The following is a 26,773-nucleotide window of genomic DNA, read 5'->3' on the forward strand; positions in this document are numbered from 1 at the left end:
GCTAATTTTTTGTATTTTTGGTAGAGATGGGTGTCACCATGTTGACCAGGGCTGGTCTCGAACTCCTGACCTCAAGTGAATGCACCCGCCTCAGCCTCCTCCCAAAGTGCTGGGATTACAGGTGTGAGCCATGGTGCCTGGCCCCAAGATGACCTTTAAAGTCCAATTCCCCTTTTATAAGATGGCGTTTTTGCTTTAGGACAGGAAGTCATCATTAAATATTTTCTCTACCTGCCTAAGCAATGGAAAGATAGCTGCCACCTGCCTCAGAGGCATCCCTGGGACTGTGCAGTTTCCTAAGGAGGAACGGAAGGATCTTGAAGCTGAGTCAAGGATCACTGGGGGCCTCAAGCTAGTCTTGGCCACAGGTCTGGGGCTTCTATGGGTCTGTAGAGGTGACTGGATGGCTGGTGTCCCCAAAGGGACTGTTCTTTTTTTAATTAAAAAAAAAATTTTTTTTTAGAGTTGGGGTCTTGCTATATTGCCCAGGCTGGTCTCTAATTTCTGGGCTCAAGCAATCCTCCTGCCTCAGCCTCCCAAGTGTTAGGATTACAGGCATGAGCCACCGCACCTGGCTGGGGCTGTCCTCAAACAAGAATCCTTCGCCTTGTCATTGGAATATTCTTGCAACTTATCTGCAGGCTTGAAATCTTTCGAAATAAAGTTTTTCTTTAAAAAAAAAAAACACAGATTCTGATTTAAATATTTCAGAGCGAAGCTCAGCATCTGTATTTGTAAATTCTCCCCCAGGGAAATCCAATCTGCAGACAGAGCTGAAAAACACTGATCTAAATGAATTAGAGAAACGTGTATGTAAATAAAATGTATTTTATATATCAGAAATTCTTTGAGAGCAAATATCCAAATGACTTATTAATGTATACTATGTAAGTATGGGGGAGTTTTAGAAACTGATTTTTCTTTAAAAGAATCTTGTCTTTATTTAACCTATGAAGATACAGATGAGGCCGCGTGCAGTGACTCATGCCTATAATCCCAGCACTTTGGGAGGCCGAGGCAGGCAGATCACGAGGTCAGGAGTTCGAGATCAGCCTGGCCAACATAGTGAAACCCCGTCTCTACTAAAAATACAAAAAGTTAGCTGGGCAGGTGGCAGGTGCCTGTAATCCTAGCTACTCAGGAGGCTGAGGCAGGAGAATCGCTTGAACCCAGGAGGCAGGGGTTGCAGCCAGCCGAGATCGCGCCAGGCACACCAGCCCGGGCAACAGTGTGAGACTCTGTCTCAAAAAAAAAAAAAGCAAATGAACACATAATACCTGCAAAGCAAGAAGGCATCTTCCTTTTAATGTTTTATTTTGCCTTTGTTTTGCCTGTTAGTTGTGCCCACTTTGCGGTACAAAAAAATAAGTGAAATAAAAGTAAGTAAAAATGATCATTTCTGCTTACGTTTACAGCTCATTTCATATTCTGCAAAATGTTTTCCCGTCTGCTATCACCGCCGCCATCCTCACAGCAGCCTGGGAGAAAGGCAGAGCCAAAAGTCTCATCTCCACTTCGTGCATGGGTGATCTGAGGCCCAGTTAAGAAAAGTGGCTCTACCGAGGTCCCAGAGTTGGTTGCTGGAGGCACTGGCAAAGGAATCCAGGCTCCAGCCCCCTTCTCTGCCTCCTGCCATCTTCCAGTTGCTTTTTTCCTTTCTCTCTTTCTCTATCTCTTTCCCCTTCTCTCTGCCTTGAACTCTCTCTCTTTCTACTTCAACTTTCCTCTCCTTGCTCCAACCCTCAGATTGGAGTCAGCTTTGCAAGTTGTCCAAACTTTTTGTCACTCTGGAAACCTGCCAGCCCCATGGCCACAGCCCCATCTCATCAAAAGCTCAGCATCTGCACCTAGAGCAAGCCCTTTCCGGATGTCAGCGTGCAAAGATTAACTCTGGTCTCTCCATCTGGCCCTAGATAAGATAAGATTAGGAGAGCGGCACTATAAATAGGCCCCCATCCTTCCTCAGGCGCAGGCCCCAGCCAGCTCAGGCTACACTATCCCAGGATCAGCATGGCCGTCCGCCAGTGGGTAATCGCCCTGGCCTTGGCTGCCCTCCTTGTTGTGGACAGGGGTGAGTGGGCAGAACCTGGATTCTCTGTGGCTTTGTGTTGGTAGGTGAGCTTGGGGTGAGAGCAGAAGCAGGGCCTGGAGCACCCTGTGAGGCCTCAGCTTTTTCCATGTACCTTCATTCTGCATATGCACCCTCCACTGTGCTGGGGAAAGTTCTGGGCTGGGAGAAAAGAAACTTGGGTTCAAATCCTGACTGGCGCAGAATTACCAAAGTCCCCTACCCTCTTGGGGCCTCAGTTTCTCCAGCTGTAAAAGAGGGCATTGTTCCAGTTCAAAGCTGCACTGAGCAACTATTGGGCTGGAGGCTGTGGGGACAGAAGGGAGCAGGTAGGTCCCAGCTCTCAGGAGAGACTGACAAGTATGCTGGGTGCAGGGTGGTGGATGCTAAGAGAGACCTGGCCGAGGTCTTCTGAGCTCCCGATCTCTCTGAAAGGCTGTGGTTTGGGACTTGGGCAGCCATGTGAGCACGACAGAGCCCTTTCCCAGGACTGGACACATATACTTGGGGCAGGGCCCTCTCAGGATCTGGGCCATCCCTGCAATCTCACAGCTACCATGTCAGGCACTGTTCTGAGCCCTTAAGACAGATTAGTGACCCAAACAGAAAAAGCACGGTCCTGATGGAGCATAAATCCAATGGGGTAGAGGAAAAGGGGAAAGGCAATAAACAAGATGGTTACAATGTATGTTAAACGGTATGTTAGAAGCTGATAAAAGTTAAGGAAAAAATACTTGGCAGGGTGATGGGCACTGGAAGGGGGTTGCAATTTCAAATCAGGGGAGGTATCTCTGAGAGTCCGATGTTTGAGCAAAGCTTGAAGGAGATGAGGGACTAAGCCATGTGGATATCTGGGAGAAGATTCCAGGCAGAGGGAACAGCTCAGGTGCAAAGGACCTGAGGCAGGGGCATGCCTGGAGTGACTGAGGTACTGTAAGACCAGTGTGGCAGGAGGGGACATTGTACGGAGTGATAGGAGAGGAGATGAGAGAGGCAAATTGGAACTGTACCGGGAAAGACCTTGTTGGCCAACATAAGAACTTGGCTTTTCCTCTGACTAAAATGGGAGGCACTGAAAGCTTTGAGCAGAGAGTTATGTCTTTCAAGGGTTGCTCTGGTTGGTACATTGAGAATAAACTGAACAGGGAAGCGGGGAGACCAGTTAGGACCCGCCTGGACAAAAGCCATAAGTTATAAGGCAACGCCTGGCAGGATCCAGGGCCACTGACCTCATGGCCAGTCCCACACCCATTTCCCCAGCTGGAAACAGACCTGGGCACAGGGGGAAAGGGAAACGGGTCTGGGGACCTGTTCAGGAGCAGCCTGCTTACGCCCAGCCTGGCACCTACACCTACCTACTCCTTGAGCAGTTGGGAACACTGAAAAGCCTGCTCTGAAGAAGTTTGGTTTTTGTTTGTTTGTTTTTGTTTTTGTTTTTTGCACATTTCAGACTACTGCCTGGGCTGAGTGAGGAGGGGGCATTTTGGGTCAAGGTCAAGGGCAGCCTGGGGGTAAATGTAGCTTTTCCCCACATCCCCCAGAAAGAAACTCTGACATCTTAGAGTTCTGAACACCCCCTCCTCCCAATACACTTTAATTTTTTTTTTTATTTAAACAAAAATTTTTTTTTCAAGACAGAGTCTTGCTTTGTTGCCCAGGCTGGAGTGCAGTGGCACGATCTTGGCTCACTGCAACCTCTGCCTCCTAGGTTGAAGCAATTATCCTGCCTCAGCCTCCTGAGTAGCTGGGATTACAGGCACATGCCACCACACCCAACTAATTTTTGTATTTTTAGTAGAGACGGAGTTTCACCATGTTGGCCAGGCTGGTCTCGAACTTCCAACCCCAAGATTTGCCCGCCTCGGCTTCCCAAGGTGCTGGGATTACACCAATGCACTTTAGTATTCAATTCCTGAACACCCACAGTGTAGGACATTGAACCAAGTGCTGCGCAAAGGCAGACATAAAGGAACCCCAAGGAGCTCAGGTGCATAGGGAGGCGGGGTGACCCAGTGAGTGGGACAGTACATGGTGGTGTGAAAGAAGCCTCCATCCAGATCTGCTCAGGAAACTGTTGGGGACGTCAAGGACAGCTTCACTGGGGGGCAGCATCAAGCCTTGAAAGGAGGGTATGATTCGGCGGGAGGAGAACGGAGACGAAGACATTTCAGGGAGGGGACATGGCATGAGCCAAAGCAGGGCCCAATCTAGGACCCGTGAGCAGAGAGGAATAGCTGGGGCATGGAGAGGTGTACTGGGAAGTCAGCCCAAGAAGCAAGTTTAGGGTCAGCTTACGCAGTACCCTAAACATAAGACTAAGCAGCTCAGGTCCATAGGGAGGCTTAGTGATCAGGACAGGGAACCACGGAAGGGCTTTATATTTTTTAAATGCTTTTCTTTTCCCTAACAGTTAAATATCAAGAAATGCACAAATCTTATCACTCGATGAATCTTGACAATGTATACACTCGTGTAACCCAAACCCCCATCAAGATACAGGACCTCTTGAGACAAGGACTTAGGGAAGAAAAATAAATACAGAACATTTCCATAGCCCCAGAAATTCCCCTATGTCAGTCAATCCCTGCCCCCATCCCAGTGCTCTGACACTTTTTTTTTTTTTTTAAGAGACAAAGTCTCACTCTGTTGCCCAGGCTGGAGTGCAGTGGTGCAATCATAGCTCACTGCAGCTTCAACCTCCTGGATTCAAACGATCCTCCTATCTCAGCCTCACAAGTAGCTGGGACTACAGGTGCGTGCCACCACACTCAGCTAATTTAAAAATTTTTTTAAATTTATTTTTATTTATTTATTTATTTATTTTTGAGACGGAGTTTTGCTCTGTCACCCAGGTTGGAGTCCAGTGGCACAATCTTGGCTCACTGCAATCTCTGCCTACTGGGTTCAAGTGATTCTCCTGCCACAGCCTCCTAAATAGCTGGGATTATAGGTGTGCACCACCACGCCCAGCAAATTTTGTATTTTTAGTAGATATGGGGTTTCACCATGTTGGTCAGGCTGGTCTCGAACTCCTGACTTCAGGTGATCCACCTGCCTCAGCTTCCCAAAGCGCTGGGATTACAGGTGTGTGCTACTGCAACCTGCCCTCATTGTTAAATTTTTTGTAGAGATGAGGTCTTGCTATGTTGCCCAGGCTGGTCTCAAACTCCTGGCTTCAAGTGATCCTCCTGCCCCAGCTTCCCAATGTGATTTTTTTCCATCATAGATTAGTTGGCCTGTTCTAGGATTTCACATAAATGGAATCATAGGGTATATAATCTTTTGTGTGTGGTTTCTTATGCTCAGCAAACTATTTTTGAGATTCAGCCACGTTATTGCATGTATCAGTTGCTTGTTTTAATTGTTCAGTAGTGCCCCATTGTATTTATTTATCCATTCTCCTGTTGAAGGACATTTGGATCACTTTCAGTTTGGGCAATTTGACATGGAAGGGTTTTAAGCAGTTCAGTGACAGGTCTAGGTTTGCATTTTGATACCCCAATGCCAGGCTTAAACAGCACATTGGGGTGACTTAGTCTAAGTTTCTGTTTCCCTCTCTCTGTGGAAATACCCTGTAATAGCATCTCCAGGAAAATATAAAACTACATTGCCTTGCACACCTCCAGTGATGGGAAACTCACTACTTCTGGAGAAAGCCTCTTTCACTGTGGCATAGCTCCCACTGAGAGAAAATTCTGCTTCATATGGAACCCAAACCTGCTTCCCTGCAGCCTCCTCACAGAGATGGGCTCTGCTTTGTGAGGTTGAAAAGAGTCCATCTCTCCCTCAGCCCCAGGATAGCCCTTCAGAGACTTCAGGGAGCATCCTGCCCTTCTCTAATTTACATAAACGCCCTTCCTTCCACCTGTGCCATTAGACATAGCTCCAGTTCCCTCATCCACCCATCATGCTTGTCAGTCACATCACAGTTTGCTCATGTCCTTTAAGCAGTTCAGCCAGACCTTGAGGGGTACACCAGTGTATGTAGAAAGAGTCAGGCTCTGGACTGCAACAGACGTGTGGGAAAATCCTACCTCTGCCTTAACAAACTGCATTGCGTCACCTCTTTGAGCCTCTTTCGTAGTTCGTTAAACTGACCTATGCCCCAGGAAACAGATTCTGAGCTATACATGCAATTTACTGGGGAGCGTTCATGGGAGTAACATCCATGAAGGATGAGGGAAGTTGACTTCCATGCAGCACAACAGAGGCTTCAGATGATCCTACAGGCAGCTTTGGGCGAGGGGATCAGGCCCTTTGTAACCACATCAACCCGACATGGGATATGGGCTGTTCCTGGGTAGTGGATGCAGCCCTGGGCAAGGCAGCTTCATTCTCTGAGGGTAATTCCTAGGAAGAGACTTGCAGTGAGTGGTCAATATTTCTGGCAGCAGGGGAAATGAGTGCCTCAGACTTGCGCGAGGGCTCTTGATGGCAGAACACAGCATCCACTACTATCTCCTTTCTTCCCTCTGTTACACAGCAGTAAGATAGGGGTGGAGAGGAGTTAAAATCATGTGTTCTCAATGCCCGGCACATAATAACTGCTGAATTGCTATTTTATAATTATTATATGGGACACAACAATTCCAGTGGGATCTAACTAACAAGGAATAGGCTGGACTGTCACCTTCCTAATTTTTGAATTTCTGTCTCTGTTTATGGAACCCAAGATCACATCAGCTTTCTGGCAGCCCCATTGTCTGGTGGCTCATCACCTTTCCTTGAGGAATTCCAGGTTGGGTAGTTGCTGGACCAAGCTCCCTGAAGCAGAAGCAGTCCTCAGACCCCTAGACCTGGGGTCTAGAGCCGGCATAATCTAATTCTTGCTTCTTTGTGTTTCAGAAGTGCCAGTGGCAGCAGGAAAGCTCCCTTTCTCAAGAATGGTAAGGCAGCTGCGTGTTGTTCTCACCTTCTCTCTGCTGAGAGGAGTCCTCTCGTCCATGCTGAGAAACCAGTTATTCTTCTCCACGATCCTGCTCAGACACCTTCAATGGCTCCAAGGTGGCCAAGGTGGCCTCCTGGCCTGCACATTCCCCACATTAGCCCCCAAGGCTGAGTAGGCCCAGCCCCCTCACCCAAGTCCCAAGATTGGCCTCAAAGCCCTTATGATGTCCCCCACCTGGTGTCCAAGGCCCCTTCCATCAGTGAGATCTCCCCACCCAGGCTTAGCAGGACAGGGTGTGCTCTCTGCTCTGTATAGTGCAGACAGGCAGGCCACAGAGTTCAGGCCAAAGAGGGGACCCTGGCACACTGAAAGCACCTGTGGAGTGTGCCAGCCTCCCACCACCACATTCCATCTGATTGTCTAAACACCAAGTTGTCCCCGAATCCTGATTCCACCTTGGCCCTTGGCCTAATGCCCCCAGTGACCCAGAAGGCAGTGGTACTGGCATCCTTGAGACTCTTGAGATTGCCCCTTCATGTAGTGGAATGAGGAGGCTCGGAGCCACCTTCCCATCCACAGCCTCAGCATCGTCCCCGTCAGTCCATCAGAATCCAGCCCCGCTTATTCAGTGCCAAAGAGCCAAATAGTTTACATACATTATTTCAATTAGCCCTATGTGAGAGAAACGCCACTATTATAATTTTTACAGATGAGGAAACTGAGACTCAGAGAGTGGAAATACCTCAATTAAGGTTATACAGCTAATCAGTGGCAAAATTCAGGTTTCTAGGGTTCGGGCCTTCACGGTTGCACCGCACAACCTTTCTCAGCCTATCCCTGTCTCAGGCACTAATGCCAGTCCTGACTGAGTTCTCACCTTGACCTCAGGCCTGTCCTAAAACCCTTTCAGACAGCCTCAATTAAGCCCCAAGCTCTGCCCCATTTCTTCAGCCTTCGCACACTTTGCAGCCTTTCTGACATGGGCCTGATAGATCATGCAGGCCAGGGAGAGTTCAGGAGCCCCCAGGGAGAGAGGGGCCTCCTGGGAATGATGGGTGGTTCCGTATCCTGGGGTCTTCAATGGGACCAGCAGAAGTTCTGATTAGTGCCTCTGAAGAGGGTGTGAACAAGTCCCCAGGAGCTTGAGGGCACAAACTCACTCCACACACATAGACATAAACACAGGCATACGCTTGAATGCCTGCACACCGGGGGCTCCAGAGACACAGGTACACATATGTACACATCCAGCCATAGGCACACACGTGGTCATGCACACGCACATACAAGCAAACACACCAAGGGGCTCTGAGTGGTTGGTTTCATCTTCACTGGACCCACACTGGGGGCCTTCTTGACTCTGATACCTCACTGGGGCCCCACTGGTTCCGAGCAGAACCCCTGTATCCCTCCCCACTGCCTCTGAATCCCTGAGTCCTCTCCCTCCCTTCTCTTCCACAGCCCATCTGTGAACACATGGTAGAGTCTCCAACCTGTTCCCAGATGTCCAACCTGGTCTGCGGCACTGATGGGCTCACATATACGAATGAATGCCAGCTCTGCTTGGCCCGGATGTAAGTCTGCCCCACAACCCCTGCTTGCTTGGGTGGGCCCCATCTCTGGTGCACAGTCTGAAAGGAGCAAGACTTGACCTGCTTCTTCCTTCATACACGCTTGACCTGAGAAGAGTCCTCCAACATATGCCCCTAATAGAATGAGTGCCAGATTAACTCAAAGAAGGCACATGGTTCCAAGCAGAAATCTAGAAGCTGGTGGTGGATAGGGAGTAGGGGCAGAAACCATTTTCCTTGTTCTGCCTTGATTGACTAGGTGACCTCATCTGTTTTTTCATTCGTCTAGCCAGCAATTATTTATTGAGCATTTACTATGTGCTAGGCACTGGGGCTAGAACAGAGCCTAAGTTAGACAGCATCACTGGCCTTCTGGAACATACAATTGGTGTAAGGGGGAAGCCAGGCTGATAGTCAGCCAATTGCAGCACAGAATTTTTTTTTTTTTTTTTTGAGACAGACTCTCACTGTCACTCAGGCTGGAGTGCAGTGGCACGATCTTGGCTCATTGCAACCTCCGCCTCCTGGGTTCAAGTATTCTCCTGCCTCAGCCTCCCGAATAGCTGGGATTACAGGCGCCCACCACCACACCTGGCTAATTTTTTTTTTTTTTTGTATTTTAAGTAGACATGGGGTTTCACCATGTTGGCCAGGCTGGTCTCGAACTCCCGATCTCAAGTGATCCACCCGCCTCAGCCTCCCAAAGTGCTAGGATTACAGGCATGAGCCACCGTGCCCGGCCTTCAGCACAGAATTCTAAGGGATCAGTGGGGCACACAGGAATAAGTAGAAATTAGCTAGGAAAAAGGAGCAAGGGAAGATAATTCCAAGTAGATGAATTTGAAAAGGTCTACAAGGAAAAGTTTACATTTGAGGAAATATAAGAAGTTGGACATGTTGGAGTATAAGGTTTAAGGGAGAATCAGGGAGAGGCAAGAAGTGAGTCCAGAAAGATGAGCAGGGCTAGAACATGACCTCCCTACATCAGATCACCTATTGGCTCTTAGTTTCTTCATCAATAAAACCCATCTTCTATGATCCTGAGAACTAAATGAGACCATGGAAGTGAAGAAAGTCCTCGGAAGCTGCAAAGCTCTGGATAGATGTGAAAGTTTGTATTTGAGGAAATATAAGGAACATCAGGATGTTGTCCTAGCTTAGAGAAAGATCATGCTAATCAAAGACTCATGGTTAGGAGGTACATTGGGAGTGGAATTGACAGGCTTGGTATGTGACTGTATGTAAAGGCTGAGGGGAAGGAGGCAGCATACTGGTTTCTGATTTGTGGGCTTGGGTGGCCAGTGGTTTCATGGGCTGAGATGGGTGGTTTGGGGGTCTGTACCAGTTCTGTGGGGGGCAGTGATGTTTGTGGACAGTTGAGCCCCTAGGACATCCCACTGGATATGGACAACTGCATGAACAGGTAGGACATAGGTCCGAGCTGGAGACAGATTTGGCAGCCATCAGCGTGCGCTGGTGGTGGAAACCCCAGGAAGCTAAAATCCCCCAGGGGAAGGGTGTACAAAAAAGGAAAAGCTGTAGAAGGATGTGCCCATGGACCCTTGGGATCTGCCCTGTATCCATACACTGCATATGTGGGCGACGCTCAGCAGGATGTCTGGATGGACTGTGCCAGGTCCCTGAATGGTACACTACAGCTCCTGAGAAGGTAGCCTCATGCCTGTCTTCTTTGATCCTAGAAAAACCAAACAGGACATCCAGATCATGAAAGATGGCAAATGCTGATCCCACAGGAGCACCTCAAGCCATGAAGTGTCAGCTGGAGAACAGTGGTGGGCATGGAGAGGATATGACATGAAATAAAAGATCCAGCCCAACTGAGTGAAGTGGTCAGTGTCTCTGGGGACACTGGTTGCAGAGGGGATAGGAGGTGGATCTTGCATTGTCGCCTCTACTCTGAATTTGATGTCCAGCTTCTCTCCGTCCCTCTGGTGCTCCTCAACCCTGTCACATGTCCCCTCAGAGGTCCCAGTTATCTTCTGCCTGCCTGAGAGGCCAGTCCCTGACCCCAGGATGCTGCCTAGTACTCCTGTCTGCCCCAGCCTGGACTATCATTCAGGCCAAGAACCTAGGTGAGGTCTGTATCCTCTGCCACTGCTGGGGTGCACGGCCCAGCCTCAGAAAGCCTCTGTGAAATCAGGAACAGTAGCTCATACCTATAATCCCAGCACTTTGGGAGGCTGAGGGTGGCAGGATTGCTTCAGGCCAGCCTGGGCAACATAGCAAGACTGTCTTTACAATTTTTTTTTTTTTTAATTAGCCAGGCTTGGTGGCATGCACCTGTAGTCCCAGCTATTCAGGAGGCTGAGGTGGGAGGGGATTGCTTGAGCCCAGGAAGTCGAGGCTGCAGTGACCCATGATCGCATCACTGCACTCCAGCCTGAGTGACAAAGTGAAACCCTGCCTCAAAAAAGAAAAAAAAAAGCTTTGTGAGAGTCATCCTGTGCCCCCCATGGCTTCCTCCTGGGTTGTGCCAGCACTCCAAGGCATGTACACACAGACACGTGGCACAGCAATGGCTGATATTCAGGCAGTGTACACAGTACAGCTGAACTGCTTGTTGTAACATTGAACTAGGTTTTTCACAATCGAAAACAGGTGATGCCCCAAGCCCTTTGAGTGCCCCCCCATACCCTAGCCACCCAGATTGTCCCCTGGAAACACCTGGGTCTCTCGGTTTCCACAGTCTGGGGTTAATTCCTGGCACTGTGGGATGATTTCGAGATGCTGCTCTGCTCTTTTGGTCAACATCTGCTCTGACTGGTTGTCAAATATTCTGACATTAGACACAGCCCCAGGCACGTCCTGCACACATGCACTCACACAATGTCCCACAGGGACACACAGTGTTCAGAATTGTCACCATAGACAGAGACTCCCTCCTGTGGTATATGTTGAATACCTCCTCTTTTGGCCAAAGCCCCTAGGCAGAGCCTCTTGATAATGGTGGCAGGAGAAAGGGGTATGGAGAGAGGCCTGGGCAGGTGAAAGCAGTTTCACACAGACTCTGATTCCTGCTGCAGAGTGGGCAGAAAGGGCAGGAAATGCTCTGTAGAAGACACATGTCTGAGAGAATGGGCACAGGAAGGCAGGAAGCTACTTTCTCTTGGACCACTGGAATGGGAACACTGAGCAGGAATTGTTGCTGATAGATTTGCAGGTGGCAGGCCTAGGAGGCCATCTATGAATAAGGCCTTCTACTGGGACTGATTCATACCTGTTTCATACCTGCATATGAATGATGTAGGATTAAGTTTGGCTGTGAGAGGCAGAAAACCCAAAATAACAGTGACTTATAGCCAGAACTTCATTTCTCCTACACATAGACCTATGTAGTATGACAACTCCATGCTCCTCTATTTTGTTACTCTGCCATCCGCATCACAGTTTCTACCTCAGGTCCAAGACAGCTACTCCAACCACAGCCATCACATCTGCATTCTAGGCCACAGAGAGAAAGGGCACGCCACTTGCCTCTGAAGACATTTCCCTTAAGACATACACACTCTGTATAAACCACATTAGCTAAAATGTAGTCTCATGGCCTTCTGAGCAGGGAGACTGAGAAATACAGTCTATCTGGTTGGCCATGCATTAAACTAAAAATTAGTTCACTTTTTGTAGGAGGAGAAAGTGGATATTGGTGACATCTAAAAGTTTCTGCCCTAAGTGGGACACCCCTCTTATACCCAAGTGGCATAGCCCAGCCAAGCATCTCATCAGTGACCCTTCCTTCCCAGGCTTCTACTCATCATCTGAGGAATCAGAGATTAAGCCTGAACAATGTGCCAGGCACCACCTGGAAGGAATACCTAATTTACCACTTACAGATGTGGACTCTGTGGCCCCCTCTCTGGGAACTACCCCAAAACCTAAGTGTTGGCCCCTAAAGACCTTATGTGTGGCATGAGACCCTGCTGCCCTGGCCATTGCTGATTAGCCAAAAGATTCTTCCCCAGGATCTTTCAAATTAGAAACAAGCAAACAGAGGCAGTTCCCCTCTGGCACTGAAGCTGTAGGATGAGCAACACAGGGGTTGTCAGCAGTCACATGTCCTGCTTTGTGGAAGAAGGAGGAATGAGAGGATGATGCAGGCATGCAGAGGCAGAGTGATTACAGGCAGTGTTTGAGTTCCTGAAGCCCGGCTGCCTTTGACCTTCCCAAAATTACATGGGATAACTTGATATCATGACCATAAAGTTTCTATTTTGCCCAGTCTCTTTGGAATTAGGCTTCTGATTCTTTTTCTTTCTTTCCTTTTTTTCCTTCCTTCCTTTTTCTTCTTTCTTTCTTCCTTTTTTCTTTCTTCTTTCTTTTTGAGATGGAGTTTTGCTCTTGTTGCCCAGGCTGGAGTGCAATGGCGCAATCTCGGCTCACCGCAACCTCCGCCTCCCAGGTTCAAGCGATTCTCCTGCCTCAGCCTCCTGAGTAGTTGGGATTACAGGCATGCGCCACTATGCCTGGCTAATTTTGTATTTTTAGTAGAGATGGGATTTCTCCATGTTGGTCAGGCTGGTCTTGAACTCTCAACCTCAGGTGATCCACCTGCCTCAGCCTCCCAAAGTGCTGGAATTACTGGCGTGAGCCACTGTGCCCAGCTTGGCTTCTGGTACTTTTGACAAAGGTCCTGACTACTATATGAAGGAGTCTCAGAAGAGGTAACCTTTAAGTTGTGCCTTGAAGGATAAGTAGAAACCATTAACTAAATAGACAATGTCGAGGCCGGGCATGGTGGCCCACGCCTGTAATCCAATCACTTTGGGAGGCCAAGACAGACAGATTGCTTAAGCTCAGGAGTTCGAGACCAGCCTGGCCAACATGGCAAGACCCTGTCTCTACCAAAAACACAAAAAATTAGCCGGGCATGGTGGCACGCACCTGTGGTCCCAGCTACTCGGGAGGCTGAGGTGGGAGGATCGCTTGAGCCCAGGAGGTGGAGGTTGCAGTGAGCAGAGATCAAGCCACTGCACTCTAGCCTGGGCAAGAGAGCAAGAACCCATCTCAAAAAAAAACAAAAACAAAAAACAATGTGGGAGAATCCTTCCAGCCCTGAGGCCGAAGAATTCGTTTGTGGGAGCACACATTCCCATCTGTTCTCCCTGTGGTAAGACTTACCATGTCCCAGGCAAGTGGGCACCTGAGAAGGGGTGCTCTCTCCCCTTCTCACGGGAGAAGAAGGGGTGCTCTCTCCCCTTCTCACGGGAGAAGAAGGGGTGCTCTCTCCCCTTCTCACGGGAGAAGAAGGGGTGCTCTCTCCCCTTCTCACGGGAGAAGAAGGGGTGCTCTCTCCCCTTCTCACGGGAGAAGAAGGGGTGCTCTCTCCCCTTCTCACGGGAGAAGAAGGGGTGCTCTCTCCCCTTCTCACGGGAGAAGAAGGGGTGCTCTCTCCCCTTCTCACGGGAGAAGAAGGGGTGCTCTCTCCCCTTCTCACGGGAGAAGAAGGGGTGCTCTCTCCCCTTCTCACGGGAGAAGAAGGGGTGCTCTCTCCCCTTCTCACGGGAGAAGAGTTTCACAGGCAGAAACCCCTTGGGTGAGCAGATCTGCGTGGGTGGGGCCTGTGCAATCACCTATCACATCTGCCCAGCAGTCCATGCATTAGGGCCTCTTTTCTCAACCCTTAAGACAATAAAGGCTGTTAAGGCTGTAAATTCCAATGCTGACGGAGATTCTGAGGCCAAATGCAGCTATAGAAGTTTCACTATTGATGTGTGCATTCAACATTCATTTGTTCTCCAAATATTTATTGAGGTCTTACTATATACAAGACTATATAACAAGTTATGCTTGTTATATATGTTATATATGTTATGTTATATATATATATGTTATATATGTAATATAACTATATTACAAGTTATGCTTGAAATAATGCTGTTACCAAGATAAAGAAGCTCCTTCACCCAAGGAACCCTGGTGTTAAAGGCAAAGATTAACCAAATAATCCCACAAGTAAACTATCATGGACTATGTAAATGCTGTGAAAGAAATGTATGGGAAGTCGAGAGAGGATCCCACCTGGGGGCTGGACAGGGTCTCAACACAGTAGGTGAGGGTTCTCCATGCAAGAGACATGTGAGTTGAATTCTGAAGGATGAACAAAAGTCACCTATACAAGGGTAGGGTTGGAGGAAGGAAGGTGAGGAGCTGTTCAAGCAGAGGTAGTAGCAGGAGCAAAGACCCCCAGGCAGGAGAGGGTGCAGTGCATCTGAGGACCTGAAAGAAGAGTGGCTGACAGCAGACAGCCAACAAATGAGGGGGTTGAGATGAGATGGGAGAAGGCATGGGGTAAAGACTTTTGCCTAAAGAGAAAGTGAGCCATTGGAGGGTTCTAAGCAGGGGACTGACATGGCAAGATTTGCACTTCATGATCACTCGGGCTGCTCTAAAGAAAATGAACTAGAGCAGAGAGGAAGTGGGAGCTAGAGGGAGAGGCAGAGGACAAGAGGAAAAAAATCAGAGAATGGGCCTGTGCAACCCTGTGTTGGTTGAGAGGCAGTACAGTAGAGGGGAAAAGCACTGGCTCTGAAACCAAACCACCCAGCTTTGTGTCTTGGCTTTGCCGCTTACTCTACAACCTTGCGCTAATGACCTAAGTTCTCTTGGTTTCCTCATCTCTAAAATAAGGATATCTGTCTACCTCTCAAGTTATGTAAGAATTAAATGACTAATATATATGAATAGTTTAGAATGGTGTTCGGCAGTTTGGTGCACAGTAACTTCTCATTAAATGTTGTGGCCCACGCCACACAGCTATCACACAAAAATAGATCAATAGTGAACCACTCTGATTAAAGTTGGGGTGCGGTGGGCTGGGACCCGAGCCTTGTCCACAAGTCTACCTCTACTACCTTGTCTGAGGTCTTAACCTGCCCAGTCCTGAATTCCTGGGACTTCAACGACTCTCTCTCTGCCAAATGATGTGAGTCTTTAGGTAGAGTTATAGCGCAAAGGGCTACTATCAATGTTATTAAGCATAAATTATGACTAGAGCCACAGAATGATTTCCTCATTAATCCAAAAAAAAAAAAAAAAGCAAACCACTCTTCTACTTTATGATGAGCACATAAACAGTTTTTTTTTCTTTTTATTTATCTACTTTTACTTACTTAAATTTTAGAGATGGGGTCTTGCTATGTTGCCCAGACTAGACTCAAACTCCTGGGCTCAAGTGATCCTCTAGCCTCAGCCTCCCAAGTAGCTGGGACTACAGGAAGGAGCTACTGCACCTGACTCAATTTTTTTTTTTTCTGAGATGGAGTCTCACTCTGTGACCCAGGCTGGAGTGCAGGGGCGTAATCTCGGCTCACAGCAACCTCTACCTCCCAGGTTCAAATGATTCTTGTGCCTCAGCCTCCCCAGTAGCTGGGATTATAGGCACATGCCACTACGCCAAGCTAATTTTTTTTTTTTTTTTTTTTAAAGCAGAATGGGGTTTTGCTATGTTGCCTGGGCTGGTCTCAAACTCCTGGCCTCAAGTGATCCGCCCGCCTCAGCCTCCCAAAGTGCTGGGATTATAGGCATGAGCTGCTGCGCCAGGCCTTAATTTTTTAAAAACAATGATGGGGTGGGGGTGGGGGACAGTCCACAAAATGGATAGAACAGCTGTGAAGGAAACATAGAACTCAGAAGGATATGGTTAACAAAAATGCCTTTGAAGGAAGCACATGTCACTCCTGAGAAGTTTATGGTTGGCTTCACCACCTGCCTGCTTTACTCATTCTGGTGCCTTCTCTTTGCCCTTCCTAATCCATGGCTCTGGCCTGGTTTCAAGCACAGACTCAGTCAACACTGGGTTCTAACCTTCTGAAGACTTGCTTGGGGACAAGGAAGCCTTGCATCAACCACAGGCTCCATCCAAGGAACGGCCCCCTGGTATCTCATGGCCTGTGGCTAGTCAGGGTCACTGGGAGGTGAGGACAAAGTCTAGAACCCAACAACCCAGCCAGATGCTCTGGAATTAGGTCACAATGAGGGATAAGTGGTCTACTTATGTGCCAAACACCTTGTTCTAGGCCATTCCCAATATTCCTGACTAGGTGCAACCTCCTGGTGATTCTGGTTTTACAGCTATGGGACTACACGATCACAAGAGCAAAGAAGCCCTCATGTATCTGAAGACTGAGGGGGCCTATAAACCTGAAACTGGCCCAAGGCAAATTAGAGCTCTCACCAGCCCAAAGAAAGCACCCAGAGGTCCAAACAGCTGGGAAAATTTGGGCAGAGGTGGCCCTCTCCAGAAAAGGTGGATTGCTGGACAGTACAACCACAGAGACAGAAGGAGAAAACAGATAGGAGCTTTACTCAAAATCACAAAGACACTATTTTTCATTGAGAACCAGTGTGAGAGTAGGAAAATTGGCAAATGGCCAGTTGCCCCCAGCAGCCCTGAAGAAATCAGGTAAATTCCGCTCCAGAGACGGCAGAGCTGGTGGCGCCATTCTTCAGGGCAGCACAGCCTTTTTCTGCTACACCTCACTCGGCCAGGGCAAAGTTTGTAGACTGCAGCCGCTCAGTCTCCTGGCAGATGTTCTGCTCCACTGTGTCACACTCGGCTAGGAATGCCTAGAAAATACACACGGGGCAGTAAGGGCCCATCCAGGGGTAGCCGACCACTGCCCACACAAGGCTCCTTGCTTACCCATTCTGGGGAACCCATGGCTGAGACTCAAAACAGATTGTGCATGAATGGAGATGGGCCACTGGCCTGGGTTCCAAGGTAAGGGGAGGGAGGGAGCATAGGACCAGCATTCTGACCATGCTCTAGGCCAGCAATCCCCTAAAAGGTGGTAAAGGCAGGGAGCTTTGCCTCAGGGCCACTGCACAGCAACTGCACAATCGCAGGAAGCACTGTGTGCATGAATACTGCCTCCTGGAATTGTGTAATGTGTCAGCCCTACCTGCTCTCCAGTGAGTTCCCTCCCTAAATAGTTTAAATTCAAATATAATTACAGGGACACAGGTGGCTCTTCTCTGACGTTTGGGGTTCCTGCTGATAAATATAACCAAAACAAGCCCATACCACACACCACGCTCCTACACTACCTGATTTTGAACAGATAAACACACATACCTACACATTAACATATTACACCTTGTCGTGCACTATTACACAACTCACCTGAACCTTTTTTACCAAGCCTTTCCTTTTCAATCTACTGTCTTTGAAATTTTCTGGCAGGATCTATGGAAGAGTAAGTTGATAATACAAGTTAGTAAATAGTAAACATGTAACAAATAATCCTCAGTGAAAATGACATGAGAGCACATAAGAAACACCCACAGTACACAAAACAGGTCACAGGTCACCAATGTAAATGTGATATCCATTTTCAGGAACCCTTTCCCTGGGTCTGTATCCTGTATGGCCTTTCCATGGCTCTTGTCCCTATAAAAGCTCCCTGTGTTCTCAATGTCTGGGCCATAGGAACTGATCTTTAACACAGACTTTGTTCTTTTATTGTTTCCTATGTATGGATACTCTGCCCTGGCCACACCATGGGCTCATTGTGACAGGAAAAGTGCCTGCTGCTGCTTCTTTACACCCACCCTGGCCAACAGAAGTACACAGTGCAGTTCACCTTCAAGAATGAAGCATCAGGCTAGAGATATCATTACTATCATCTGCAAAAGAGTTAATGATTTTCAATGGCCTCACATGACCTGGGTCTGGCTGAATCATCTATAAGTAATGAGCCCTGCAGAATTATCAGTCACATATTCATCAGAGAAAGTTAAATCCTCTGTTTCCTGGACCATGAGATCGTGGACTCCTTGGGTCCCAGCTTCATGACGATTACAGATGCTACTGGCAAACATAAGTGTAAATGATAAAAGTCCTATGCTGGAGGGCTGTGAGTGCCTAGAAAGCAGGAACTGTCTTATCATCATGCATTCACCCAGGACCTAGCAACATGACTGGCACACAATAGTAGATGCTTAATATTCTCAAGTGATGGGTTTGCTCAGGCAATAGGAGAGTAAATTACTGAAAGAGTGAATGTGACTGAAATAAAGTCAAAGAAAACTAGTTCTTCTCAGCTGAATATTTACTTACCAGTGTGTCAATCTCCTCCAAGATCTTCATAAACTGCTCTATTGTGGCTTTTACTCTCCTATCAAGTTTGCAGAGAGCTTCAGCTTGCAAATCCTTGGGCAGAAAACCCTGCGGGGAAATAATGCATTATTGCAAGGGTTCTCTGAGGCTGACGGAAGACTCCATGCCACAATACTAATGATGCAATCACACTGAGCCCACCATAGCCCTGGCAGGCCAGGCCACATCTCAGATCCACAACTTTAACTCTTGGAAAAATTAAAAAGGCTGGCCGTGGGCCAGTCCAAGAATTCTATCAGGTTGCAGTCTGCTCTACCTCGCATGACCCACTGTGGCTGCAAATGCCTCCTGAGGCTTGGCTCCAGTGAAGCCCCCAGTCACAAGAAGAGGCAGATGTTAAAAGCACAGGTTTAGAGTCTTCAAAGCCTACGCCTGAAAACTGACTGCCATTTACTAACTTGTGATCTTGAGCAAATTATTTAGCCTATTCATGCCTCAGTACCCTCATTTTAAAAATGAAGATTATGATGCCCACACCCTAGATGGTTACTGTGAGGTAAAGGGAATATATGTACATGTGTCACTAACTTGTGGCACAGACGCATGCTAAAGAATGGCAGCAGTGCTTATTTTTATCAAATTGTCTAATGGTTCACTCACACAGCTTGGCCTAATGACCAGTTAGCTGGTGACAAGAGTTGGATAGCAGGGATCTCTGAGGATGTTTATCACAGCCACGAGCTACAGACACAGATTTCACAACACGTAGCAAGAGCTTTAAACATCACCCAGCAATTCCAACTCAAAGAATTTATTCTACCAAAAAAACCAGGAATGGTCAAAAAAGATTTACGTCCAAGGACAGTCAAAGAAGCATTACACATAATGGTAAAAATAATATTAAATGAACAATACAGAGTTGGCTAGGTAAATAATACATTTATACAAGATGAAATGCATGCGAGCTTTGAAAAATACCATCACAGGAAAATGTTTAATTTTTTATCCAATAAAAGAATAGTTTATAAAGTGTAAATAACATTATATCAAATTTTTTTAAGATGAAAAATATATTTCAGGCTTTGGTAATCGTCATCTCTGAGTTGGTGCCCCATGGGTAATTTTTATTTTCCATATTAGTGCCTATACATGTACTTAAAACTTTTGTACAGTCAGCATGTATTCTGTAATTAAAACACAAACATATAGGCCGGGCGCAGTGGCTCATGCCTGTAATCCCAGCACTTTGGGAGGCCGAGGCGGGCAGATCACTTGAGGTCAGGAGTTTGAGACCAGTCTGGCCAACATGGTGAAACCCCATCTCTATTAAAAATACAAAAAAATCAGACAGATGTGGTGGCAGGCGGCACCTGTAATCCCAGCTACTCGGGAGGCTGAGGCAGGAGAATCACTTGAACCTGGCAGGCAGAGGCTACAGGGAGCCACTGAGATTGCACCACTGCACTCCAGCCTGGGTGACAGAGCGAGACTCCATATCAAAAAAAAAAAAAAAAAAAAAAAAGCCAAAACACAAACACACCCCAATTAATGCTATAAAATGAGAGGGAAAAATAAATAAAAGTGGTCTTGAGCTAGTCCTAATCCTTACTGGGTTTTAGTACCCCATCTCTAATATAAGGAATTGAATAGGATGACTCCCCCAACCCCACTATCATGTTCAACTTGGACCTTCTATGAACCAACAAAATGTTATTTGCCTTGCCAAACACATTACAACAGCCCAGAGAGAAGCTACTTGTTCTATTTCAGACAATACATGATCCTAGCAAGGCAGGTGCTCTCCTGTGAGCATAAATGGATGCTGGCTGGGGTTTGACAATAACTATGACAATAAATGCTTATAAAGCACTTAGTATGTGTCAAGCTCAATCTACATTATTTAATTCTCCCAACAATCCTAATAGGGAAATGTCACCATTATTCCATTTTTACAGATGAGGAACTTGAGACAAAGATAAACTTGTTCACAGTAAGAGAAAGGGTGAATCCAGGATCTGAACCCAGGGAGTCTGACTGCAGAACATGTCCCCATAACCACAAGTTATATCCAGGAAGCTCTGATAGAAGGCAGAAAGTTAAGGTCCATGAAGAGAGTTACCTGCTGGATTCCAGTAAGCTCTTTATTCAACTCTTCCAGCTGGTCAGCTATCTTCTCCACAGACTTCTCCAAATGTTTCAACTTCTTTAGTTCAACCTCTTCCTGTGGACTGTTCTAAAATGTTTAAGAAGAAAATAAAGCCAATAGTCAAAAAGAACAGGCTGGGCATGGTGGCTCATGCCTGTAATCCCAGCACTTTGGGAGGCCGAGATGGGCAGATCATTTGAGGTCAGGAGTTCAAGACCAGCCTGGCCAACATGGTGAAACACTGTCTCTACTAAAAAAACAAAAAAATTAGCCAGGCATGCTGGCGTGCACCTGTAGTCCTAGCTACTCGGGAGGCTGAGGCAGGAGTATAGCTTGAACCTGGGAGGTGGAGGTTTGTAGTGAGCTGAGATCGTGCACCTGTACTCCAGCCAGGGTGACAGAGCGAGACTGTCTCAAAAAAAAAAAAGAAAAAAGAAAAAGCAATCAACAAGAACAGCAGCCTCTGTCAGGAAAAATACCTGACCACACCTGCATGAAGCCACTCACCTAGAAATAACAGTTTTAACTCTGTTGCTTCTTGGAAATCAAGTCAAAGGGTTATACATCAAGTTTTCCATCTACAAAGACTCCAGACTAGAGAGAAGGTGTTAGGTAAACATTCTGGTGAGGGCCCTGACAGCTTGGGTGCAGAGAATGGAGACAATCCAAGTGCCAGATTCAGTCTCAGCCCTATACTGATCAACAACCAAGACTGAAGCCTGGAGGGTAATCACATTTCAGTAAACACTTGTGAGGAGTCCAGAATGGCAAGAAAGGTGGAATTCTACCATTCCTTTAAATGGAATTCCTAAATGGCAGCCTCCAATTGAGCGCTCCTGTTTAATGTGATGCTGGTTAACAACGATGAATACTTTTATTGAACACTTCCTACATGCCACACACTATCCTAAGCACCTTACCTATTTTTTAAGCCTTACCACAACTCCATCAGGGAAGTACTGCTGTTTTACAGATGATGAAACTGAGGCTTAATGTAGTAAAGTAACATGAGATCACACAGTCCAAAAGAGGTAGATTAGACTTAAGTTCAGACTTTTTTCTTTTTTGAGATAGGGTCTCACTACGGTTCCCAGGTTGGAGTGCAGTGGCTGTTTACAGGCATGATCATAACTCACTGCAGCCTCAAACCCCTGGACTCAAGTGATCCTCCTGTCTCAGACTCCCAACTTGCTGGGACAATAGGCATGTGCCATGGTGCCTTCCTTGAGTTCACACTTCGCTCCATACGCTCTGTGTCAGCTCCAAGTAAAAGTCCTATAGTTTCTTCAAACTTGACTCTTTGGTTCTGCCTGTTGCCCATCACCATTCTCCCTGACCCTGAAGCAAGAAATTTAGAATATTTCCCTCTTCTCTCAGGTAAACAATTGATAGATAGGTCTAGCAGCTTTCTGCTTAGTTATGCTATCCCAAATTATTCACTTCTCTTTGTGGCAAGTCCTGAGTTCCAGTCTCCTGGCAGTTCCAAGTCTGGATTAGATTTTTTTTGCCTTCACTTTGTTTATCTGCCCTCTCTCTACTCAGCCACCTAACTCACAATAAGGGAACTTCATATGCTCATAATTCTGCTGTGTCACAATGCAGGGCTGGCCACAGCCCTCTCTCATCACCTTAAGGGTTGCTGACCTCATCTGTCTTTTTTTCCCCTCAGTTCTTTAGTCTGAACCTTCCTTTCCAGTCGAAGGTTTTCCCTTGTGGGAGATTTTAGTTAAAAGGTTGGTTAAAGGGAGAGAGGCTCCTGAACTGGAACAGAGTGATTATTCTTAATATCTACAAGTTTATTTTAACAAAAGACTCTTGCAAATTCTACTCCAAGTGAATGAGACCTGTCCCAGGCACCATTTTAACCAGACCAAGATTCCACCACCAAAACAAAAAACATATTATTAAGGCAGCACAACCGCTCCTAATTCCTAGAGCAAAAGTTCTAACCAACAGGAGCAGGAGGGTATGAGAACAACAAAACTGGTAATCCTGTAAAACCAATAAAGATTGTATTTGTTTAGAGAGGTGTTTTATCAATGCAGAATCTGGGTCCCCAGTTTGGTCTTCTAAACAGAAACATGTATAAAAGACTTCAGTCATTTGATTCTGAGGATTTCTGATGGAAAAAGCAATTTACCTTTTTCCCAATTAACATGACCCGGCAACCATCTTGTATTCCAAGTGCTGACAACGGTGTTTCCATTTCCTTCAGAGATTTTCCTAAAAAGAGGAGAAAGGTAGGCCAAGTTGTAATAATTGTACAACACTGAAAATAAATTTCAGCAGGATACAGGAAATAGACAAGTGTGTTCACTAATGAGAACTGGTATCTTTTTAGAGGGTGTCATGACCCAGTAATTTCATTTCCAGATATTTATCCTAAACAAATAATTGGACATGCGACTCCACAGTAACTACTATACGATAATATTCAGTGCAACCTTTTCATAATAGTGAGAAACTGGAAAGAGCCAAATATTCAGGAATCAGGGACCAACGAACCACACTACAGAAGACTTTAAAGTCTTCAGTAGGCATTAAGGTCTACAGTAGCCATTAAAGCTCATTTTTTGCAGGAAACCCCAATACCACAATGAATGCTGATGACACAGTGTTATTATGAGGGGTTTTATCCAGGGGAACATTTTCTTTTTCATGCATTCCTCTATTTTGAAACATGAATTTCTATTGTCTTTATAATTCAGAAATAAAATATTTTTAAAAATTAAAGACAATATGTTACACTATGAAATATAAATAAAAATGCCTCCTATTACTAAATTCTTTATAATGACTGACACCCAATGGGGTAAGTCTTTCCCCAGTGGATACCAGAATGATAGATTCTCAGGGGGGTGGGAAGACAGAGGGCAGGGGCCAGGAGGGTGTGGGTCCTGGCAGAAATGAGCATCATGCATCCACTGAGCCCGCCACATCCAGGCCTCAGGTAAGTTTGCTCAAAACCTCCTTTGAGTCAGAACAATGGGAGGCACTGGAAACACAGCAGTATCTCCACCCTCACGGAGGCTGTTATTTTAACAGAGAAATCAGATGTTAAGCAACTAAGAAAATGATTATTTAATAGTAATTTCATAGAAGTGATGCAAAAATAGCAGGGAGTACCATGGTAACATATAATGGGAAGATGATCTAACCTAGCGAGGGAAGACTGCCCATGAGCTTCATCGAAAATGGTGAGATTTCTGCCATCATCATAAGACTTCAAATCTGACACCTGTCCAGGTGTTTGAGAGTGTCCAATACCTAGCAGGTCCTCAATAAATATCTGTTGAAGAACTGAATGAATAAACAAATAAATAAAAATTGTCCCAGTTTGAAAACAGAGTGACTATTAGGAAAAGTTCAGCAGTTTTAAAACTGTCCTTTGGCCATAAGGAAAAGCCGGAAAAGAAATGCTTACCCTTGGCCAGGTGCAGTGGCTCACACCTGTAATCCCAGCACTTTGGGAGGCCGAGGCGGGTGGATCACCTGAGATCAGGAGTTCGAGACCAGCCTGGCCAACATGGTGAAACCCTGTCTCTACTAAAAATACAAAAATTAGCCGGGCATGGTGGTATGCACCTGTAATCCCAGCTACTTGAGAGGCTGAGGCAGGAGAATCACTTGAATCCGGGAGGCGGAGGTTGCAGTGAGCCTAGATCGTGCCATTGCACTCCAGCCTGGGCGACAAGAGTGAAACTTCGTCTCAAAAAAAAAAAAAGAAAAAGAAAGAAAGAAAAAGAAATGCTTACCCTTAAATATGAGTTTCTGAAAAGACTGTGGAACCCCTATGACCTCTTCAACAACCTGGGCCAGGTCTTGGACAACTGGTTCACTGCTGCCCTGCTGGGAGGTAACATGAAGGTCGTGCTTCTCATTGCCTGGGGAGAAAGAAAAGCATTTGACGAATATGATTCTTTCACATACACCAATATAGGATGACACTTTATCACATTTATTTACCCAGCCTTCAAGGCCCAGCTCATATGCCACCTACTCCACAGAGCCTGCCCCCATGCCACCCAGCTTTCCTCTGGTGACCTCCTCAAGTATCTCTGTTTCCTCTATTATAATAACTAACAATATGAATGATATCTGCTAACATTTTAAGCATTTCATGCATAATCTAATTTAATCCTCAGATAAACCCCACGAAGTAGATCTACCTATTACTTCTTATTTCACAGATGAGCAAACTGTGACTTCAGGCAAGTTAAGGACTGCCTATGGAGACTCAACTGTTGGAATCAGAAGTTGATATCAGATCTAGCTGATTCCCAAGCCCACCTTTTTCATCACAAGCCATCTGCTTCCTGTGGCTTGACTGCCCTGTACCCTGTATTGTATTGGTCTCGTCTCGCTTGCTGTAATGGGCAAGTGACTGTTTTCCTCCAAGTCTCTCCCACTGAACACACTTGAGTGCATCCATGATTTGTGCTAAGTAAACAGACAAATGCATACGAACAGCAGAGCCTTTCTTTCTGAAGAAGAGACGCCAATTCTTTTCCAGGGATGCGGACAGCAAGGAGGGAGCCTGTGTACAGTACATTACACCAAGGTTTGGTTCCCCCAACAGCTCCGTGAGGTCAGCAGGAGCCAGGGTTACCAAATCTACTTCACAGAGGAGAAACCGGATTCTTAGAAGAAGCCGTCCATCCCAAGGTCACTCAAAACCGCAGGATCTAGAATCCAGGTCTCCAGATTCCCAGACCCTTGGGCCTCCCCTAGCTGGTTCTAGAGAAACCTCATGGACTCAGCTCTCCGGTGTACTGACTTCATTTGGTGGTGTGTCAACTCCAACAGTAGGCAGACCCAAAGGGTGCCCAGAGTACAACGCTTGGACCCACGGCCAACTCAAGCGGCGCACACGGAGAAGGCACTCAGCACACGAGGAGCACCCCGGCATGCACGAAGTTCTGACTTATCACACACGGAGCAGTCGTAGACCACATGGCCCAATATATGCCTGACACAAAGGGCACAATAACTGCGCGGGCACACAAACACAACCAGGCCCACGACGTAAAGCACGGAGAAGCTCAAACACCCAGGATCGCACAAATGACCAGAGACAAAATACACCGGCCACATGGAAAAGTGTACAGACACAAGCCCGGGACAAAAGACAGTTCCACGGACACAACCAATAACCCACGCTTCCGGACGCCAGGACAAGCGCAAGGTCACACGCTTCTGGAGGACACGTGACTAAACCCACAGACCCCGCCGGGCTTTCGGGACCTGCATGGAGCCCACCTGGCGCCCGACACTCACTGTGGGTGACAGTCACGGTGAGCCCAGCTGCCGCCATTTCCTCCCTGGTCACCTCCTCGCTCCGGGTCGACTCCTCGTCCCGGGTCACCTCCTGGCTCCGATTCATCTCTTCGCCCTGGGTCGCCTCCTCACTCTGGGTCGCCTCTTCACTCCAGGTCGCTTCCTCACTCAGGGTCAACTCCTCGCTCCGGGTCAACTCCTCGCTCCGGGTCGAGCGGCGCCGGGTTTTCTTCTTCATCCGCGGCCTGCGAGCGCCGGCGGCGGCGCCCCTGGTGGGTCGGTCATGCCCGCTGGCAGTACTCCGGGCAGGTGGACGCCCAGAGGGAGGCGGACCACGCTGGGCCGGGGGCTCCGACTGGCGCGGCTCCCGGCCTGGCCGAAGGGCGCGCAGCCGGGAACCCAGCCGCTCCCGGTCGCCTCGCGGTCTCCGCGCCCCCCCGCGCTGAGCCAGGCCCGCACTTGTTGACCGCCCAGCGATGGAAGCTGAGCGCGGCGTCTCACAACCCCGCCCGACTACTTCCCAGCCCCGCCCCGGCCTGCCGGCCCCGCCCTCGCCCTATGCCGCGTTAGTTGCCTCCAGGCCCCACCCACTCAACTGAGGCCCCGCCTTGCTACAGTAAAACCCCTCCCACTCCTTCTACCAACACCCCGCCCCCTGCAGGCTCTCTCCGAGAGCACCAAGTCCTTTTGCTCTCCATCCCCGGAAGACCCGGCTGAAAATCCGGAAAAAGAATCGGGAAACGCCAGG

The 26,773-nt window shown here is 47.4% G+C and overlaps 2 protein-coding genes across 5 annotated transcripts, besides 4 other annotated features; one reads left to right on the forward strand and one right to left on the reverse strand.

The window, feature by feature from the left end:
* The first annotated feature begins 1,968 nt into the window (after nt 1-1,968).
* Nucleotides 1,969-10,369, forward strand: SPINK4 (serine peptidase inhibitor Kazal type 4). Its single transcript, NM_014471.3, has 4 exons — nt 1,969-2,071; nt 6,914-6,954; nt 8,418-8,530; nt 10,228-10,369. The coding sequence occupies exons 1-4, from the start codon at nt 2,011-2,013 to the stop codon at nt 10,271-10,273; spliced, it is 261 nt and encodes an 86-aa protein (NP_055286.1). The 5' UTR covers nt 1,969-2,010; the 3' UTR covers nt 10,274-10,369.
* Nucleotides 10,715-10,824: an enhancer, noted in NCBI's record as "active region_28288". NCBI's record gives its function as "activates an Ori minimal core promoter by ATAC-STARR-seq in GM12878 lymphoblastoid cells {active_cell/tissue: GM12878}" and the evidence as "EXISTENCE:reporter gene assay evidence [ECO:0000049][PMID:35858748]".
* BAG1 (BAG cochaperone 1) lies at nt 14,273-26,510 on the reverse strand. 4 transcript variants are annotated; one of them, NM_004323.6, is made up of 7 exons: nt 26,026-26,510; nt 24,504-24,632; nt 22,889-22,971; nt 20,722-20,835; nt 18,603-18,710; nt 17,667-17,729; nt 14,273-17,110 (listed from the first exon to the last, which is right to left on the reverse strand). In NM_004323.6, exons 1-7 carry the CDS (start codon nt 26,474-26,476, stop codon nt 17,021-17,023), a joined length of 1,038 nt encoding a protein of 345 aa, NP_004314.6. In that variant the 5' UTR covers nt 26,477-26,510; the 3' UTR covers nt 14,273-17,020. All 4 variants share the same exon structure in this region, with proteins under 4 accessions (NP_004314.6, NP_001336215.1, NP_001336228.1 ...).
* Nucleotides 25,519-25,568: an enhancer, noted in NCBI's record as "active region_28289". NCBI's record gives its function as "activates an Ori minimal core promoter by ATAC-STARR-seq in GM12878 lymphoblastoid cells {active_cell/tissue: GM12878}" and the evidence as "EXISTENCE:reporter gene assay evidence [ECO:0000049][PMID:35858748]".
* Nucleotides 25,699-26,288: an enhancer, noted in NCBI's record as "active region_28290". NCBI's record gives its function as "activates an Ori minimal core promoter by ATAC-STARR-seq in GM12878 lymphoblastoid cells {active_cell/tissue: GM12878}" and the evidence as "EXISTENCE:reporter gene assay evidence [ECO:0000049][PMID:35858748]".
* Nucleotides 26,319-26,638: a silencer, noted in NCBI's record as "silent region_19833". NCBI's record gives its function as "represses an Ori minimal core promoter by ATAC-STARR-seq in GM12878 lymphoblastoid cells {active_cell/tissue: GM12878}" and the evidence as "EXISTENCE:reporter gene assay evidence [ECO:0000049][PMID:35858748]".

The sequence above is a fragment of the Homo sapiens genome, chromosome 9 (assembly GCF_000001405.40).
Source record: "Homo sapiens chromosome 9, GRCh38.p14 Primary Assembly".
Lineage (NCBI taxonomy): Eukaryota > Metazoa > Chordata > Mammalia > Primates > Hominidae > Homo > Homo sapiens.